The 17,713-nt window shown below is 57.8% G+C and overlaps 1 protein-coding gene across 10 annotated transcripts in view, besides 4 other annotated features; it reads left to right on the top strand.

Annotated features, from left to right (window-relative positions):
- Nucleotides 1-17,713, top strand: part of STK32C (serine/threonine kinase 32C) — a 124,754-nt gene that overhangs the window by 22,147 nt on the left and 84,894 nt on the right. For 2 of the 10 annotated variants that reach the window (XM_011539690.3, NM_173575.4), the window contains exon 1: nucleotides 2,139-2,517. The exons of 6 other annotated variants lie outside the window; for them this stretch is intronic. In XM_011539690.3, coding sequence (XP_011537992.1) covers nucleotides 2,256-2,517 — 262 coding nt within the window. In that variant the 5' untranslated portion in view covers nucleotides 2,139-2,255. Of the gene's footprint in view, nucleotides 1-2,138; nucleotides 2,518-2,866; nucleotides 3,168-17,713 lie in introns of those variants that run through there. 2 more of the 10 variants (XM_011539695.2, NM_001318879.2) reach the window with 1 other exon arrangement.
- Nucleotides 326-868: an enhancer, noted in NCBI's record as "H3K4me1 hESC enhancer chr10:134122725-134123267 (GRCh37/hg19 assembly coordinates)". NCBI's record gives its function as "activates a minimal SCP1, AML or CMV promoter by ChIP-STARR-seq in naive H9 embryonic stem cells {active_cell/tissue: H9 hESC(naive)}" and the evidence as "EXISTENCE:reporter gene assay evidence [ECO:0000049][PMID:30033119]".
- Nucleotides 869-1,413: an enhancer, noted in NCBI's record as "H3K4me1 hESC enhancer chr10:134122180-134122724 (GRCh37/hg19 assembly coordinates)". NCBI's record gives its function as "activates a minimal SCP1, AML or CMV promoter by ChIP-STARR-seq in naive and primed H9 embryonic stem cells {active_cell/tissue: H9 hESC(naive and primed)}" and the evidence as "EXISTENCE:reporter gene assay evidence [ECO:0000049][PMID:30033119]".
- Nucleotides 1,666-2,315: a silencer, noted in NCBI's record as "silent region_2953". NCBI's record gives its function as "represses an Ori minimal core promoter by ATAC-STARR-seq in GM12878 lymphoblastoid cells {active_cell/tissue: GM12878}" and the evidence as "EXISTENCE:reporter gene assay evidence [ECO:0000049][PMID:35858748]".
- Nucleotides 12,074-12,237: a silencer, noted in NCBI's record as "fragment chr10:134111356-134111519 (GRCh37/hg19 assembly coordinates)". NCBI's record gives its function as "represses an EF-1alpha promoter that drives an FKBP-Casp9 reporter gene in an ReSE screen in K562 erythroleukemia cells {active_cell/tissue: K562}" and the evidence as "EXISTENCE:reporter gene assay evidence [ECO:0000049][PMID:32094911]".

Here is a 17,713-nt window from a genome sequence, read left to right as displayed (position 1 = left end):
GGACCCTCAGACCAGAGGACTGTCCATCCCCAACTGCCCGGGCCGGGGAGGCGTCCTGGGCTCTGGCTGTATTCACATTCTCCCGCCTTTTGGGGTCCTGGTTACCTGCAGGTCCTCAGCCTCTCCAATCTTCAGAGTCAGCTTTCTACCTGCTGTCTGAAGTCTATTAACATGTCTTCCCTTCTCCTGTTCCCTCTTAGGTGGTGGTGGGGACGTTATATCTTTTATTCCTTTTCTGCCACTTTTAGGGGTCAGAGGGAGAGGAGGAGAGGCGATGATGTAAGTTCAGAGGCTGCGTGTTTTGGGAGGAGCCCTGGGGAGTCTGATGTGTGCACCGGGTACGCAGGGTTCCAGGCACTGCCCTGCCTTGGTACCTCCCCTTCCAAACGCTCCTTCACCACTCCTGCTGGGATGGGCACCGAGGGCTTCCTCTGAGGCAGGTGCTGAACCCACTGCCTTCTGCGTGCCTGCTGGAGAATGGCAACTTTGAGGGAGAGCAGGGAACAGAGCTTCGCAGCTGCAAGGGCTGAAAACTCGGCTCTGTGCACTGGAAGTTAGAGACCGATGCGTTTGTGCTAGCCAGGCAGGGAGAGCTGCGGTGGCTGGTTGGTCAGGTAACCTAGGTTATGCTGCCATAAAAATACCCTCTAAATCTCAGTAGTGAAATGCATGCCATGTGTCCTAAGCGGGTGCATGTCCAGGTGGGTGCATGTCCTAGGCGGGTGCATGTCCAGGCGGGTGCATGTCCAGGCGGGTGCATGTCCTAGGTAGATGGGCATGGTTCCATTCCTTATAGTCCCCAAGGGATGGGGGCTCCTGTTGGCCCAGAAGCCACACAGACTTCCCGTGCTCACATTTCATGCATCAGGCGGTTAGGGCGGGCGGCCACACTGAATGTCAAAGGCCGTGGGGAGGCAGGGCTCACAGTGGCTGAATGACAGGGTAGACAGTTGTGTGCGGTGGGAGGGACGGGAGCGGGAGACACTGGCCTTGGAGCCATGTTGGGGATCCGCTCATCGTCCGGGCGGGCAGCAGGAAATCCCATCTAGGATTTCACCGAGGAGGAAGAGACCCCGTCTTTGTGTCCTGGTTACAGGGCAGAACTTAAGGAGGTAAAGGCTTCCTAAAGTCAAACAGCCCGGTAGCAAAAACTGATTCTTCAGTGACAAGCGCCAGGGGCAGGCGGCGAGGCTCCATGCAGAGCCGCGCCTTCTCCAGGGCACTCCAAGGCGCCCAGCACTTTCCGCGCAAGGTCGCGCCTGGCCCTGCGCAGGGGCAGAGGTGCCCGGAGGTCAAGCCGCGCCCCAGGCCTCCGAAATACGCCGAGTGCCGAGGCCCCTGTCGCATCTGGACAAGGGGACCCTGGGCGACTCGGGCACGCGGTCTCAGGCCGGACGGGGGTCGCGAGGATGGCACGGGGGTGCCCGAGAGCGCGGGCGCACGTGCTCAGGGCTTAGCGCCCACCCCAGGCGCCCGCGTGTGCGCGCGCGCAGCCAGGCCCGCCCTGCCCCACCCCACCCTCTGGCGCAGCGCTTGGACTCAGCCTGCCGCCTCCTGACCGTGAGCCGGGCTCTGCCCGGCAGATTCCCGCCGCCCGCATCCCGGGCCTGCAGCCCGGCCTCACCCTGCGCAAAGCAGAAGGCTGGAGTTTAGGGCTCCCCGCACTGGGCGGCGGAAGCCCGCGCGCCGGCTGTTTTCACGAAGAAGGCAGGGGAGGGAGGCCCCCGGAGACCGCGAGAAGGTCCCGCCGCCGTGCCGGGCACAGCAGTCCCCGTGCCAGGGACGCCGACCTCCGGGGCCCCAGGATACCCGTGGGGACGCTCCCTGCCTCCCTCGCTCTCGTACCCGCCGTCTAGTCTGAGCCGTGGTCCCCGTGTCCCGGCGAACCACAGCCCCCATCCCTAGACTGGTGGCGGCCACCCACTCCCTAGCGACACTCCAGGCACTAGCCCCGCCCCTGCCCCGCCCCCGGCTCGGCCCCGCCCCTACCCTTCCCGAAGCTCCGCACCTGCCACGCCCCGGCGCTCAGCTCCGCCTCGACCCCTTCCAGGAGCTCCGCCCCGCCCCCGCCCCTTCCAGAAGCCCCGCCCCTGCCCCGCCCCCAGCGCTCGCAATCTACGGGGCGGGTTCCACCGCCCAGAAGAGCGCACGGCGGGCGCTGCCGGCCCCGAGCGCTCCCGCTACCACTGCCGCTCCCGGCCCTGCCGGCCGGCCATGCCCCGAGTTCCGGCTGCCGCGCGCACCCAGACCCGGCGATGAGGAGTGGCGCCGAGCGCAGGGGCAGCAGCGCCGCGGCGTCCCCGGGCTCGCCGCCCCCCGGCCGCGCGCGCCCCGCCGGCTCCGACGCGCCCTCGGCCCTGCCGCCGCCCGCTGCTGGCCAGCCCCGGGCCCGGGACTCGGGCGATGTCCGCTCGCAGCCGCGCCCCCTGTTTCAGTGGAGCAAGTGGAAGAAGAGGATGGGCTCGTCCATGTCGGCGGCCACCGCGCGGAGGCCGGTGTTTGACGACAAGGAGGACGGTGAGTGCGGGCACGGGGACGACGTGGGGGCCGCGCGCTATTGCAGGGGCGGGCGCGGCTGGGCGGCTTTTTCCCGCAGGGGTTCCCCCGGTGTCCGGGACGGCTTCCCGGGGCGCCCCGGCTTCCGGAGAAGCTCGCGCCGGGTGGCTGCGGCCCCACGCGAGTTCTGGGCGCCCGCCCGCGTCCTCCGTTTCTAGTGGCGGCGCCGCAGGAGGAGCAGGCTGGGCCCGGGCCCTCGGGGCGAGGGTCCCCCGCGGCTGTGGCGTCTCCGGGCTTGCGCGCGCCTCCGCCCACCGCCCGTGGCAGCCCTGCTTTCCGCTTTCCGTGATCCGCTCGGGCCCACGTGCGGGCTCGTTTGTACTTTGCAGTTAGAGAGGCGCTCACCTGTGCCGCCCGAGTGCGAGTGAGGCTCCTGCCCCACAGGTGGCGGGGCCCGGCCGCTCAGAGGCTCAGTCTCCTTGGTGACCGCGCGGTGTCCATCCTCTGCTCACCCATGTGCGCTGGAGGCAGGGCCAGGCCGTTGTGCAAAGACCTGCCCTGCCAGGAACGAGTGCGCTGCTGAGTCCTGTAGATAAAGCCGCCAACCCCGGGGACTGGTGTCTCCTGAGTGACCGTGCAGCCGTGGGCGCCATAGAAAGCAGAGAAGGCAGGTGAGGTGACATGGGACAGGCCTGCAGGGACACCTCCCGGGGTGCCAGGGGGCCCCGGGGACCCCCGAATTATCACCTGCAGGGAGATGTGGTGCCGCGTCTGCCTGTGGGCACTGTAATACAGTCACATGCAGACATACAGCTCTTTTCTACAGGTAACATGCAAATCATTTAAAATCGTACATTGATGACACATTTCATGTTTTTTGACATTTTCTTAAAATACTTGAAATGTGCATTTTTCATTTATAGATAGCGTGCAGAGGTATGATGGATCCTTCAAAATTTTAGAGCCCAGCGCTCAGGAGCCAGGCTATTTACTTGCGATAAATAATTTAAGCATTATGGGAAATTACAGTAATACGACCTCAGGCCGGCGTTGGTGAGTGTGGGGCCGTGCACCGCCGTTCCTCCGGGAGACGGCACCGGGGATTCATGGTGTGCTGCCTAGAAGGAGGGCTGAAGGCCCAGCCACACCAGGCCCCACACGCTCCAGGGTGGCCCGTCACTGTGTCCTGAACTTCGGGACAGCAGAACTCACGATGGTGAATGTTTGAGAAATGTTTTTGTTTTTAACATAAATATTCAAAGTAAAGAAAGCCCAGAGTGAACTAGGAGCTGATCAGGAGGCAGATTTGCCTCTCGTTTCTGGCTGCGGGTTGAGAGAACGTCTGAGAAACGCATCTGGTTTAGCACTTGCTGGTGTCAGCCAAGAGCTGGCTGCTCTTCTGGGTCTCGGCACCGTGCTCTCCGGGGGTGGGAGTGGAGACAGTGGTGTGGCACTGGGCTGCCTTCAGCTTTGTAGGGTAGACTTCCCTGTGTGTTCACAGTGTGTTATGTCACAGAATTCAAGGATCACTAGAAAGGCAAAAAGAGCAAGCACAGAGTCTGTCTGTGGGGCTCACGGTCTGACTTGGGAATTCTTTCACATCCCCAGCATCACCGTATTTGCCTGTAGTAGGACGGCAGAGATTCGGCTGACGGTGTCCCACGGATGCTGCTGGCTCCGTATGGCTTGGTATGCAGCCACATCCCCAAACTGAGCACCCGCCGGGACTCAGCTGGGCTTTGTGTGGTGAAATCAGGAGGGCAAGACTAGGCCCTGGCCCGAATAGCAGAGGACATCTCTGGGCGGTGACCGCTTCCCTCCGCTTCTTCCTGTCACTGGCAGGGCACAGACAACTTGGGAGTCATAGCACAGGGTTTGCAGAAGAATGTTCTGCACCTCTGAGTGTGGATGCCGGGGACTCGTGTTGGTGGAAGGGATTCAGTTTGGAAGGAGAAAGGAGAGTCTTTTAGGAAGGGACTGTTGCCCCTGAGTCCCACCCCTTTCAGGTTGGTGCAGTCATTTGCCTGGTACTTTCGTGGCCCCGTGGCAGCACTGGCTTAAGGAGGCCCTGGTGCTGTGTTGGTGTCTCGAGTTTACTGAATCTGCACGGTTGCTATGGCAATGCTAGACCTTCCGATGAATTTTTTAGATTAAAACACCTAATTAATATATCAAATTTAGTATGCAGAGAAAAGGAAAAAAGAAATTAAGAGTGCTGTTTAACAAAGTGCCAGGTAAATTTCAACTGATAGGCATAGTTGCGACATATAAGACTAAATGTCCTCTGTTCCTTTTAATCCTTGTGGACTCCAGAACCATTTTCCTAATTTGGCAGATATTTGGTGCATGTACAGAATTCTCTGCACGTCTTTGTCATGCCAGAACTGAGGGTCTCCAGTTTTCCTTCCCCTCAGCCCCTCACATGCTCCCATTCTATCCCTTCTCTGACTTCGGTGAAAAATTCATTTTTGGGGTTGAACTTGGTTAGGGGGTCTTTCTGCTGCTGCTCTGCACCAGAGCTGCATGGCGTTGGGCGAGCCCCTTCATTCCTCTCTGTCTTGGTGTCCTGGTGATACCAAGTGAACCTGAGAGGAGGCTCCGGTACCTTCCCGCTAAGCAGCTCTGCAACCTGGGGGGCGCTCGCCCGTCTCGGGGTCACAGCATTGAGTCTCCAGCCTGACGTGGCATTAGCCCGCCAGCAGGAAGTAGCTCCTCCCTGAGGGGCTTTGCCTTCATCTGGGGAAGGCTGGAGTGGACAGGCCCTTGCAGGCTGTGGACGGCCCGCCCTGGGCGCCGGGCCGGGCAGGCAGTGAGGCAGGACCAGGGGCCACCAGACTCCTCAAGTCATCTCTTAAAATTAGAAACACCTTTGTTTTTTCCTAATTATGAAAGCATTAAAATGTATGCATTTAAAAACATTCTATACTTTATGCCACGGTATCTGTAACTTCAGCATTGGGATCACGGTGTCACCTCCCAGCCTTTTTCTGGAAATACAGTCCCAGGTACAGCCGTGGAGAAACACTCTCTCTTTGTTAGCAGAAGTGGGATCCTGCTCTGCATGCCAATTTGCCGTAAGGTGCTTGTTGATTCAGCGATATGTTGCCAGCCTCTTCCAGACCTGAGGCATCATTTGTTGGCTGAATTTACAACAGTTCTCAGCCCCAGGCTGTGGACCCGAGTCATTCACTGGGCACTCTTAAAAAATGCAGATGCTCAAGCCCCACACCCGTGAACTGTGGGTGAACTGGGGGGGTTTGGTGGGTTGGGGGTGGGGCTCAGGGGCTCAGGCTTTTTTTTTAAGCCCCTCTTGAGTTTTACCAGCAGTCGAGGCTGAGATTCCCGACTCTGCAGTGCTCCCCTGAGCAGCTGTGACTTTCTCTGCTTACTTAGTTTCCTGTCACAGGACTGTGAGGTGTTTCTGTTTTATAAATATCATAAACGACGTATTGATGAACATCGTTGCAGATCTTTGTGCACTTGGCATTGTTTCCCTAGGATACATTTTTAGGAACGACATTGCTCAGGCAAAGGGGTCCGTGTGAAATACCTTAACACGTGTGGCCGCTCAATTGGTCCCTCTCTGAGCATTGTTTATGGGCCATGCTGTCGTGGGGTAACCGGGCAGAGGGGAAGCAGAGAGACTGACAAGACAGGGAGGCAGGAGCGAGTGCAGTGGGTGGCGGGAGGCACCTGCAGGGGAGAGAACCAGACCACCTGCTGCCAGCGGAGCTGGCGGGAAGGGAAAACCCATTTTCACTTGCTCCAGGAGCGGGAGGGTTTGATCGCCTTTTCCCCTGAATCCTCTCCAGCTTTGGGTATCAGCAATGTTTCTATTCTTTGCCAGTCTAAGAGATTAAAAGATGGCACTCATGCTTTGAGTTTCTTTGATTATCAATGAGGTTCATCATCTTTTTACCTTAAATGTTTAGAGCATTCAGCTCTAAACACATTTCACGTGTTTCCACACTTTTTGAATTGCCTGCCCGCGCTTGTTAGCGGCATGTGTCCTGTGGGATGGCAGCCGCAGGTTCCTCTCGCCCTTCCTGGTACACAGGCTGAGCCTTCAGCAGCTTCCCTCCCACGTTCCTCATTTATCTTTTAATGTTGCTACTTAGCTTTTTTCTCTATGGATGTGTTTAATTTGTGTGTGGTCAGATTCATCATCTGCCTTTGTGGCTGCGTCCGGCCTTGCCTTTATGTGACAGCAGTCCTTCCCAGCACAGTTAATAATAATTTAATTCATAAACCTGCATCTGTACTTTCTTCTAGCGCTTCTGTGGTTTCACTTTTTGCGTTGGAAATTGCAGCCCGTAGGGAGTATCGCTTGACGGAGAGTGAGAAAGCTCTCTCCTTCTCGCATTAGTTCTCCTCTTTCCCAGGATGAGTGCAGTTAGGATGTTTCCCCCTGTAGGGATCTGAGGCCTCCCACGCAGCCCCTCACCGCAGAGCCCCAGGCAGGCTGCGCCCTTGCTGCTCCCGGCCTGTGGGACTGGAGTGGGACCGTTTCCACGCTGGCTGCTGCTGATGTGAAGGAACGCTCCACTTTTACAAGGTTCACCTTGTGTGTGGCTGAGACTTCGCTGCCTCTTGCACATGACTGCACTTGGCTAAATTCTCGTTAGTCTATAGCTTTGAAGTTCATTTTGTTGGCTTTCTGGGTGGTCTGTCACGTTGCCTTGGAGTGACTCTAGTGGCCCCGTGATGGTTTTGCCTCGTTCTTTCCTTATGGTGTTGCCGGAGCTCATGGAGCAGAGAAGAGAGAAGGTCCTGAGCCCAGGGGCTGCCGAGGGCTGGGGACAGCTCCTCCCGCACGGTTGGTATGGACGGGTTGTCCTTCCAGAGCGTCAGCTTAGCCCTAGTGTGGGAAAACTTTCCAGTCAGGTGTGGACTCGCATTTTGGAGGGTGCTCTTTCCTTGCCTCCTGACCCTGTGAGGCAAGGGGTGGGGGCTCTCTGTGTGGCCCAGACACCCATCCCCCACAGTGCAGGCGCTTGGTGGTCAGAAGCCTGGTGGCTGCAGAGGCCCCTGGTCTGGGGTGTGGACTGGGGAGGAGGCCTATGGTCCTGGCCTCCTGCCGGGCACCCCGTCACATGTTTGCTCCTGGCTTCCCCGGTTCTGGGCCCAGCACCGGGTGTCCTGGGGGCCCTTGGGGCAGCTGTGCAGCTTGATGCCTCTTCTCCTTCCCAGCTGTGAGGCTGCTCTAGAATGGACTCGGGACCTACTGTCATACTTTTTATGTAACAAATGTCAGCTCTGCGTGTCTATCCATCTGGTTGTGCATTTTACAAGGCTAAAAATAAGCCGGCTTTTCTTTTAGAACTTGAACCACCCAGCTTTCCAGTGGAGAAGTAATGCGAGGATGCCTTGGAGGTGATTTTGTTGAGGGATTGATTCTCTGCGGGTGAAGCCCAGAGACACTCCAAGGTGATCTGAGGGAGGCAAAGTCACAGACAAGTGTTTCTTCCACACGGAGCCGGGACCACTCAGAGCAGCTTTCCTGCCTGTCCCGGACCCCCAGTCACCCAGGACTTGTGAAAATGCGGCTGACCCAGCCGGCCTGGGGTGGGGCCAGGAGCCCACATTTCCAGCCGGCCCCAGGCGGTGCCAGCGCTGCTGGCCCGCGGACATACTTTGAGTGTGAGAGTTTAGTGAGTATATAGCCGGTGCATCATGGTGAGTGAGGGCAGGAAACCCACGGGGTGCTGGTCCCTTGGCCCGGGCTCCCGATGGGCCTGGAGGGGGATCTCTAACCCTCTGTACCACGGGGTTGCCAGTCATCAGAGGGCGCCTCGCGGTGTGGACTTTTAATTTGCTTTTCCTCCTTCTGTTCCTCTCAGTCCTCTTGAAGGCCCAGCCTTCTCCACACGTGGCCGACGTGCAGCTCCTGGTTCACATCTTGCATTTTCACCCGGCCCAGTAGCCCGCACTGTTTCCTTTACACTGGGATGCGGCATCTGTCTTCTGACCCGGATCTGAGGCAGGGTAGTCTGGTGTGTCCACTGGCGGGTTCCTGGGGAGTGTGGCCCCGTGCTTTTGGGCGGAGCATCCTGTGTCCCCGAGCCCACTGCGGGGCCTTGTCTTCCCCGGGGACCCCCACACCTAACGGGCGCTCCCAGCTGTGTCAGGCAGGACCCTCCTAGGGAGGAACCCGGGTTCCAGGCCAGGCCCTGCAGGACCACTCAGAGCAGCTTCCCAGACTTCCTCTTGAGCCCCTCGGCTCTTACATCAAGTAAGGGCCTGTGCCCTGTGGCCCTGACCCTGTCTCTTCCTGGTTGGGAAGCTCGGAGCTGCATCTGGGTTCACATTAGTGGAGGACCAGGCCTTCTACTTGGTGTCGGGAAGCTCGGAGCTGAATCTGGGTTCACGTTAGTGGGGGACCAGGCCTTCTACTTGGTGTTGGGAAGCTCAGAGCTGATTCTGGGCTCATATTAATGGAGGACCAGGCCTTCTACTGGGCGTTAGGAAGCTTGGAGTTGAATCGGACCTCGTGTTAGTGGACGACCAGGCCTTCTACTTGGTGTTGGGAAGCTCAGAGCTGAATCTGGGCTCACGTTAGTGGACGACCAGGCCTTCTACTTGGTGTCATTTCCCTTCCCAGCCAGATTTTCCTCCTCACCTAAAAAGCTCCGTTGAGCTGTGTGTTTCTCTGAACCTCCCTCTCTGCTGTCTGTGTATAACTGGAGATAAAAATAAAGCTCTGTGAACCACCATTTCTCCTGCTGCTGCTGACTAATACTTGGGCACGTGGCGAGACCTTGGTCTTCTCAGCCACCCTCCTGAGTGGGATGCCGCCTTGTTCGGCTCTGGCTGTCAATGGGGGCGAGTGGCCACCCGGGGTGGTATCTCTGTGCCTGGAGCGCTTCCTTACAGGTCTCCTGCCTGCCCTGGGCGTGGGCAGAGACGCAGGCCCCTCCCCTCTCCCAGTATACAGGCAGACCAACCTGCTGATTGATGATAAAGATCAGAACTTGAGACAGTTTGGGGAAAGCTATAAGCAATACAATTATTGTTATTTGTATGGTATGCCTGCTTCATCAGAAAACAGTTTCCTCATTGATTTGAAATCTATTGTTTTAAAAATCAAGGCTGCTGCAGAGATCAGCATGGCTGGGCAGGAGTGCAGACGGAGGTGCTTGCCCTGGCCTGGCTTTGTCCCCCCCAGATTCCATCCAGCCTCCTCTCACCCCACTTCTCCACCTGTGAGGAGGGAGCCCCCATGGTCTCTGCCATGCTTCCTTCTGGGCTCCGGCCCTGCCAATCCTGTGGAAACCCATCTCGATGTTATTTAAGTTCTGAAGCCAAGGAGATGGTGTAGGTGGGAGTCAGTGTCGCCCCCAATTTATTAAAAATAGGAACCGAGCACATTCCATTTCTCACAGTGATTTAGAAAGTTGACTTTGCAAAGGTTTCTCCTCTTTTGAATTCACATCATGACTCTCCGTCCTCCGAACGCAGAAGGCAGAAAGTGTGATAGAGCAGGAGAGAGGCGCCTCTGTGTTTGGAATGTCTGCAGGAGTCTAGCACGGGCGTTGCACGCATTCTGGGGCCTTGGCAAGGATGACATTTGTCTTGTTTTGACCACGATGCTGGGATGTGAGCAGGAGTCCGCGGGGGTTTTGGTGCCGCCTACTCCATGCACCTCTGCCTCTCCCTGTGCCAGCGCCCTGGGTCCCGTCCTCAGTCACTTTGTGACGTCTGACCTCAGAGCCTCTGTTCGCTGTGGGAAAGCTGTTCCTGGCGGCTCTTGTGCCCAATAACAGGGCTCGGGGTCCTGGCACCGCGTTTCTCAAACCGGGTCCTGTTCGTGCCCAGGGGACACATTGTTCCACTTTTCTGTTGCTGCTAGTAAACTACCCTACACTAGTGACTTATCAGCCTCCTTGTGGTTTCTCACGATGCTGTGGGCTAGGAATTTGGACAGGGCCTAGTGGGGACGGGTGTCTCTGCTCTGCATGACGTCTGTGGGACCAGAATGTCCACCGTGGCTCCCTCATCCATGTACACGGCACCTCGGCCAGAGCGGCTCAGAGAGCTGCGGGCTGGTGCAAACCTCCCCAGGGGTCTTGTCCTGAGGTCTCAGTTAGTTTGCTGTTGGCTGGTGGATCAGCTGTCCATGCTGCTGGGTCTCGTCCTGGGGTCTCAGTTCGCTGTTGGCTGGTGGATCAGCTGTCCATGCTGCTAGGTCTTGTCCTGGGGTCTCAGTCCACTGTTGGCTGGTGGATTAGCTGTCTGTGCTGCTGGGTCTTGTCTTGGGGTCTCAGTTTGCTGTTGGCTGGTGGATCAGCTATCCATGCTGCTGGGGTCTCAGTCCACTGTTGGCTGGTGGATTAGCTGTCTGTGCTGCTGGGTCTTGTCCTGGGGTCTCAGTTCTGCTGGTGGACTAGCTGTCTGTGCTGCTGGGTCTTGTCTTGGGGTCTCAGTTCGCTGTTGGCTGGTGGATCAGCTATCCATGCTGCTGGGGTCTCAGTCCACTGTTGGCTGGTGGATCAGCTATCCATGCTGCTGGGGTCTCAGTTCCACTCTTGGCTGGTGGATTAGCTGTCTGTGCTGCTGGGTCTTGTTCTGGGGTCTCAGTTCTGCTAGTAGATTAGCTATCCATGCTGCTTAATGAATTTCCTCATAGCCTAGTGGCCCACAGTGAGCTCCATCTTATCGTTTCTGAGTCGGTGATTCAGGAGTGGCTTAGCCGGTGCATCCTCTTGGTGTCTCTCATGAGGCTGCGGTGAAGATGGCAGCTGGGGCTGCTGTCACCTGAAGGTTTGACTGGGACTGGAGCGACCACTTCCAGGCCAGCTTCCCCATGTGGCTCCTGGATGGAGGCCTCTGTTCCTTGCAAAGGGAGCTTCCCCACACACTGCCTGGGTGACTCCACACACTGCGCTCAACTCCCTCCCAGTGACCCCACACACGGCGCTCAACTCCCCCCCAGTGACCCCACACACGGCGCTCAACTCCCCGGTGACCCCACACAGGGCGCTCCCCTCCCTCCCTCCCCAGTGAGCTGAGCAGGAGCGAGAAGCCACAGCGAGGATCTCAGCCACAGGCTCCTCCCAGCATGTCCTGTTAGGAGCAAGTGAGCAAGTCCAGCTCATCCTCAGGGGAGGGGAGCTGGACCCCGCATCGGAAGGGGCTGCCGTGGGACCTGTGGACTTGTCTCACACCACCACAGCCGTCCTCAGAGTCTCGGCTTCTTCGCCCCACTGGGCCCCACATTGGGGCAGGAGGAATTCCTGAGAGGCCCCAGGGCGCCCACAGACGCAGAGTAGAAGATGCCGGGCCTTCTTGAGGCTTAGGCCTGGGCTGGCACCGTGTCACTTTGACTGCTTTCTGCTGGTTGGAGCCAGTCACAGGCCCAGCTCAGATTCAGGGGAGGGACCACACAGGGTGAAGTCTCCGCATCTGGGGGTGGGCTAGGGCTGCTGCGGGTCGGCCGGGCTGTTTGGAAGAGCTGGACATGGGGCCGGGAGAGCAGGGACGAGTTGGAAGCGTGACCTTCAGGGAGTGGTGCTGCTGCCTGCCACCTGCCAGCATCACACAAGTTCTCTCTCAGCCACCTCTAACCCCAGTTTAGCCAAATGGCCAAGCACCAGCCAGTGTACCCGGGTTGCTGCCGCAGAGCACCAAGACCCCAGGAGACACAAAGCATCTTCTGAGCTTTGAAACTGAAAGAGCTTGGAGGGAAGGCTGTTTGTACTTGAGAACAAACAAACAGGAAGTTGGAGTGGAGTCAACATCTTCCTGAGTTTGGAAAATAAAGCCCCAGAGACCAGGCGGGTGTGCACCTGCTGCTGGCCGCGGGGCGGGCCCCTGACTACGGGGGCTTCGCCGGGGAGTCTCGGAGCTCTGGCTCAGGGCTTCCTGCACTGCCCCTGGAGGACGCACCTGTGACTGCCAGGGTCTTTGTTTATTTTGCCCCCAATTCTTTTTCCTTTTTCTTGTAAACATCAGTCATCTTGTGTGTCTGAAGTGATGTTTTATCTCCAAAGGCAGAAAAGATAATCTGTAAAGTTAGCACATGACTGAAAGAGGGAAAAAGATGAAATAGGAAGAAAGATACAAAGGAAAAGGGGAGGAAAAAAAATCTGTTCTGAAGAAAGCATTGGACCCTGGGACCCCAGCCCCAGAGTGCGTGGCCCAGCTAGTACCGGGGCTGGCGTGGCCCCTGGTGGGGCTGGGAATTGTAGGTGGCAATTGGAAAACCCAGGGTGGGCTAACCAGGCACAGCCACAGCAGGCCCTTCGGTGGATCTTCGGGGTCTGCTGGCAGCGGGGGCGGAGGCACCGGTGGGGTGGCAGCGAGGACTGGCTGCCCTGGACACGCTGGGGATGGCCACGGAGGAGGGGCTGGGGCATGTCCTGCAGAGGGTGTGGGGTGGGAGCCAAGCAGGAGGGGAGTCCTCTGTCATTGGGTCCTGGTGCCCCTTCCCCAGAGCCACAGCAGCCAGAGGCGCAGGAAGGAAGGGGCCTAAGCCGTGACTGTCACCCGCCCAGAAGCTGCACCTGCTCGGGCACCACAAGGAAACAAAAGGTGAAAGGGGTGGTGAGTCAGTGGCAGGAGAGGACACTGGGCAGAGCTGTGCCCAGGCCTTGGCCTCTGTCTGTGGCGATGTCCGCCTCCCTGTCTCTGGGCTGCCTCTCCTTCCCTGCACCCCCTGCCGTGGTCTCCCCACTGGCCCTGACACTCCTTTCCAGAGCCGCAGAGGCTTTCGGCGTCCCAGAGGGCGCGGGCCTGCGAGTCCTGCCTCTGTGGCCACCATGCCCCGGGGTCGCCTGGGACATCTGCTTCCTGCCTGCTGATCGGTGCCATTCCTCACAGCGGCCCCTTTCTGTCTCCAAGTGGCCTGGTTTGGATGATCAATTGTGTGGTTGCCCGGTCTAACCACCAGATGCTGTGCCAGGACGATCTCTTTCTTCCTTTATAGCTTTTTATTATATAATGAAAGTGACGAGAAAAAAATTAAGAAATCCAGCATCTTGTGTCATGTCAGCACTGATAAACAACCATTTGTAGTTTTTCACATGACCTCCCAGTTCGTACTGGAAAACATGCAAAATCTATGTGGCCTTTTAAATTTCAGGATAGTTTAGATTTATAGAAAAGTTGTGAAGCTGATACAGAGAGTTCCCTTGTTCCCCAGAAGCAGTTTCCCCTTACGTCACCGTCTGGCATTAACCGGGTACATTTGTCGTAACTAGAGGACCCGTATCCATACCTCGTTGTGAACTGAAGTCCACACTGGGTTCAGATCTCCTCAGTTGTTCCCCGGTGTCACTTATCTGTCCCAAGATCCCGTGTTACATGAGTCTCCTGGCGCCTTAGTCTACTCCGTGCTGTGACCGTTTCTCAAACTTGCTTTTTATGACCTTGACAGTTTGGACACTGGTCAGCTGTGTTGTAAAATGTCCTTTAACTGGGATTCATTTGATGTTTCTCTCAGGATTATGGGCCTTTGGGAGGAAGACCACGGAGGTAAATGCCATTCTCATGATGTCATACGAGATTACACGCTGTCCACACACCTTCCTGCCGATGCTGGCCCTGTCACTGGTGAGGTGTCTCCACCATGACGTCCCCTTTCCCCCTTTTCCACACTGTCCTCCCTGGCAGGATGGCACCATATGCAGCCCACACCGGGTGTGGGGGTAGTTATGGTCCCCTCATCAAGGGGGCTTATCTATATACGTCATTCAGAATTCTTTTTTTTTTTAAGATGGAATCTTGCTCCGTCGCCCGGGCTGGAGTGCAGTGGCACAACCTCGGCTCACTGCAGCCTCCGCCTCTGGGTTCAAGCGATTCTTTTTCCTCAGCCTCCCGAGTAGCTGGGATTACAGGCGTGCGCCACCACACCCAACTAATTTTTGTATTTTTAGTCGAGACAGAGTTTCGCCATGTCGGCCATGCTGGTCTCAAACTCCTGACCTCGTGATCCGCCCTCCTCGGCCCCCCGAAGTGCTGGGATTACAAGCGTGAGCCACTGCGCCCGGCCTGGAATTCTTCTGTGTAGATTTGTCTCTTCCTTGCGTTAATTCTGTTACCCCGTCATTGATATCACTGTAGACTCATGGGTGCTGATTTTACACGCTGGTTGTAATTCGTCACTGCTTTAATTTCTTGGTCACCCCGTCCCAGTCTGGCCACTGGGAGCTGTCCTTTGCCCTGGCTCCTTCAACACCCCTTCTTCGGTGCTTTCGTTGTTGCTCTTGTGAGTTTCTGATCACTTTCTCACATTCGGGCACTGCACGATGCTGCAGGCTCACCCCGTGTGTTTCCTTACCCAGCCCTAGAACTGGCCATTTCTCCAAGGAGCCCTGGTTTCTTTGTTAGGAGGATGGTGTTAGACACTGAGCTCTGGGTCCCATTGTGCTCCTTGCTCTGGGGGGACAGTGATCTTTTTAAAGTACGAAGCCCATGGTGTCACTGCCGGCTTAAGACTCTTAGCTTTTCCTGTCACTTTGTTTGCTCAGCTTAACGTGTTTTCCGTGCACCTGCTCTGTGCACTGCCGGTGGGCGTGTGAATTGACAGGCCTCCTTTGGAGGCTGTTTCTCTGGGTTTACTGAAGTGGCACAGTCCACACCGAGAGGGGCAGAGGCCGCTGACATCTGGAGCTGTCCTGGCTCTGCTGGCCGGGCCTCAGTGTTCCCTTGTGGACCACACATGATTTACCCGTGTCATACACAGGCAGGACAGATCACGATGAAACAAAGCCACCACACGTGGCAGCTGCAGGACCTGTGGCCTGTCTCCGTGGTCAGGACTTCCGGGGAAGGGGACGGAAGTCACTGCAGGGCTCTGGAATACAGAACCCGGGGCTCTGGGGGGAAGAGCTGTCCATGGTGCTGGCCCTGGGTCGGGGGCTGGTGCACTGACCCATGCCTGGATCAGAGGCTGAGCTGTTGGCTGTAGATGGTGCGAGGTCAATGGCTGATAGCTGTGTACACAACTAGCTGGAGCTCCCGAGGGGCTAAGAGTGAGCCATGCATGTTCGTGTCCCGAGAGTGGAGAAGGGCGCCAGGCATCAGATGGCGTTTGGTGTGTGGCTGTTGAGTGAATAAGCAACATGCTTTATTTCCTGTGCTACGAAAGTGTCAGCCCACAGCCCTATTTCTCAGCCCTCCATTTTCAGCAAAACTCAAACTCACTCACTCCCTGCCGTCTGCAGGCCTCCCCTCCAGTTCTCCCAAAACCCGCTGGAGCTGGAATCTGCCCCACCTGCCCCAAAGATGCCTTGGGGCGGGCCCCTCCCTGTGGCTGTGCTCTGTTCCCAGCCTTCCTTGGCCTCGACCTATGGCAGGGTCTGACACTCCTGATCCCCAACCCCCTTCCCCGTGCCTGCTCCATGGCCTCCTTGGCGGATCCTCCTCGTCTCTGACTCTGACTCTGCCGTGCTGGGGCTCTTTCACCTCCCGCTCCACCCACACGCTGGTGATCTCATGGTTCAAATACCACCTATATGGCAGCGACTCCCAATTCCTGTCTCCAGCTGGGACCTGTTTCCCACATTCCAGGCTTTTCCGTCCACCCTCCGACTCGACATTGCCACTCGAGTGTCTCAGTTCCGCAGGTTCAAATGCGAGTCCTGATGCCCCCATGCTGGCCCCGCCTGAAGGCCCCTGCCTGTGCCCACCTCTGAGCTCCCTCGGGGGCCCCTTCCCTCGTGCCTGTGACCGTCAGGTGTTCTCTTGGCTCTACCCTCTGAAGGGCCCCCTGTGCCCTGGCTCCTTCTGCGTCCCCGGAGCAGGCTCTGCCCCAGCTCTGGTAGGGCTTCCTCGGGGCTGTCCCCACCCCCATTCCCCAGGCAGTGGCTGGTGTGGCCCAGTCTGCTGGACCTCCCACCTGCTGGGCTCCTGGCTCTGTTCTTCAGGCCGAGGCTCACCACGTGCCTGGCTGTGTGATCTCCCCACCCCCACTCTGGCCCTGCCTGCCCTGCGTTCCCTCTGCTGTAGCCGGCCTGACTGCTGCTTCTTAAAAGAGCTCTGCCCACGGCACCCTCCGTGTGCCTGGCCGGCTGCCTTGCTCCCCTGGCCCAGTCTGGGTGGCAGACGCTCTGCAGTAACGCCCACCCCAAGCCAGTGGCTAAGGATGACAGGGCCTTCATTCTGCCGCCTGCCCTGTGTCCCCATGAGTCCAAGGGAGGGCTTGGCTCACTGTCACACTGGCCTGTGTGAAGGTGCAGCCACCAGGGGCTGGAGTGGGAGAAGGAGTGTTCTGAGATGTCTTTTGCTGGCGAAGAATTGCCTTCCCTGGCCTGAGAGTGGCTCACAGCTTGCTGGCCAGGACAGTCGCTTGGCCCTGGGCCATCTCAGAGCCAGGAGGGGAGCCCGCCAGGCGCCAGGCCTGGGTGGAGGGACCGTGAGAGTAGCGATGGCCACTCCATCCTCCTCTCAGCCAGGCCCACTCTAAGTCCTGCCCCAGCCCCCTGGCCCCAGGCCTCTCTTGGCTCTTCCCCAGCGCTGCCCTCCCCGCACGCATGCACGCGCTGCACTGACCGCCCCGCACGTGCCGTGCTCCCCGCTTGCTGATGTTTGCCGTTCGCTGCTCACCTCTGGGTCAGCCTCTTGCCCTGCACGTTGCGTGGGGCAGGTTTCATCTCCTTGGCTCAGTCTTGTGTCCTGAGTGACTTGCAGCACTGGAGCAGGTGAGCACCCACCGAGTCAGGAGGAGGACGTCTGCATGGGGAAGGGAGGGGGGAGGGACCAGGGAGGGACCGGCAGCGGGTCGTCGCGGGGCTTGGGTGCCATCTCCAGAGGGTGAGAGGTTGGCAATCTGATGCCCTCCCTCACACCTTTCTTATAGAAGAGCTCCAGGGGATGGTGTCAGCCAGGCCTCTGAGAGTGGCTTCCCAGGGTCTGGTGTCTTTTTTTCGATAATTCCAGGGCCTGCTTTGGGTGGGGGTCTTGCGTTGGGTGCCCCTCAGAGCACCTGGGCTGGCACCGGGAATCTGTGGATTAGCCTGTATGGGTATGAGCACAAGCATGGGAGTGCATGAATATGGAAGCATGTGTGCAAGCATGAATATATGAATGTGTGTGCATGAGCATGTGAGTGTGTGCATGCGTGTGCATGTATGCATGTGTTTATGTGTGCCTGAGCATGTGTGAATGTGTGTGCATGCATGAATTGTTTACGTGTGTATGAGTGTGTGGATGAATCCGTCAGACTGAGTGTGGATGAGTGTGTGACTGGGTGAGAGAGTGTGGGTATCAATATGCATGT

Source organism: Homo sapiens, chromosome 10, assembly GCF_000001405.40.
Source record: "Homo sapiens chromosome 10, GRCh38.p14 Primary Assembly".
Taxonomy (NCBI): Eukaryota; Metazoa; Chordata; class Mammalia; order Primates; family Hominidae; genus Homo; species Homo sapiens.
This window is presented reverse-complemented; position numbering and strand designations above follow the sequence as displayed.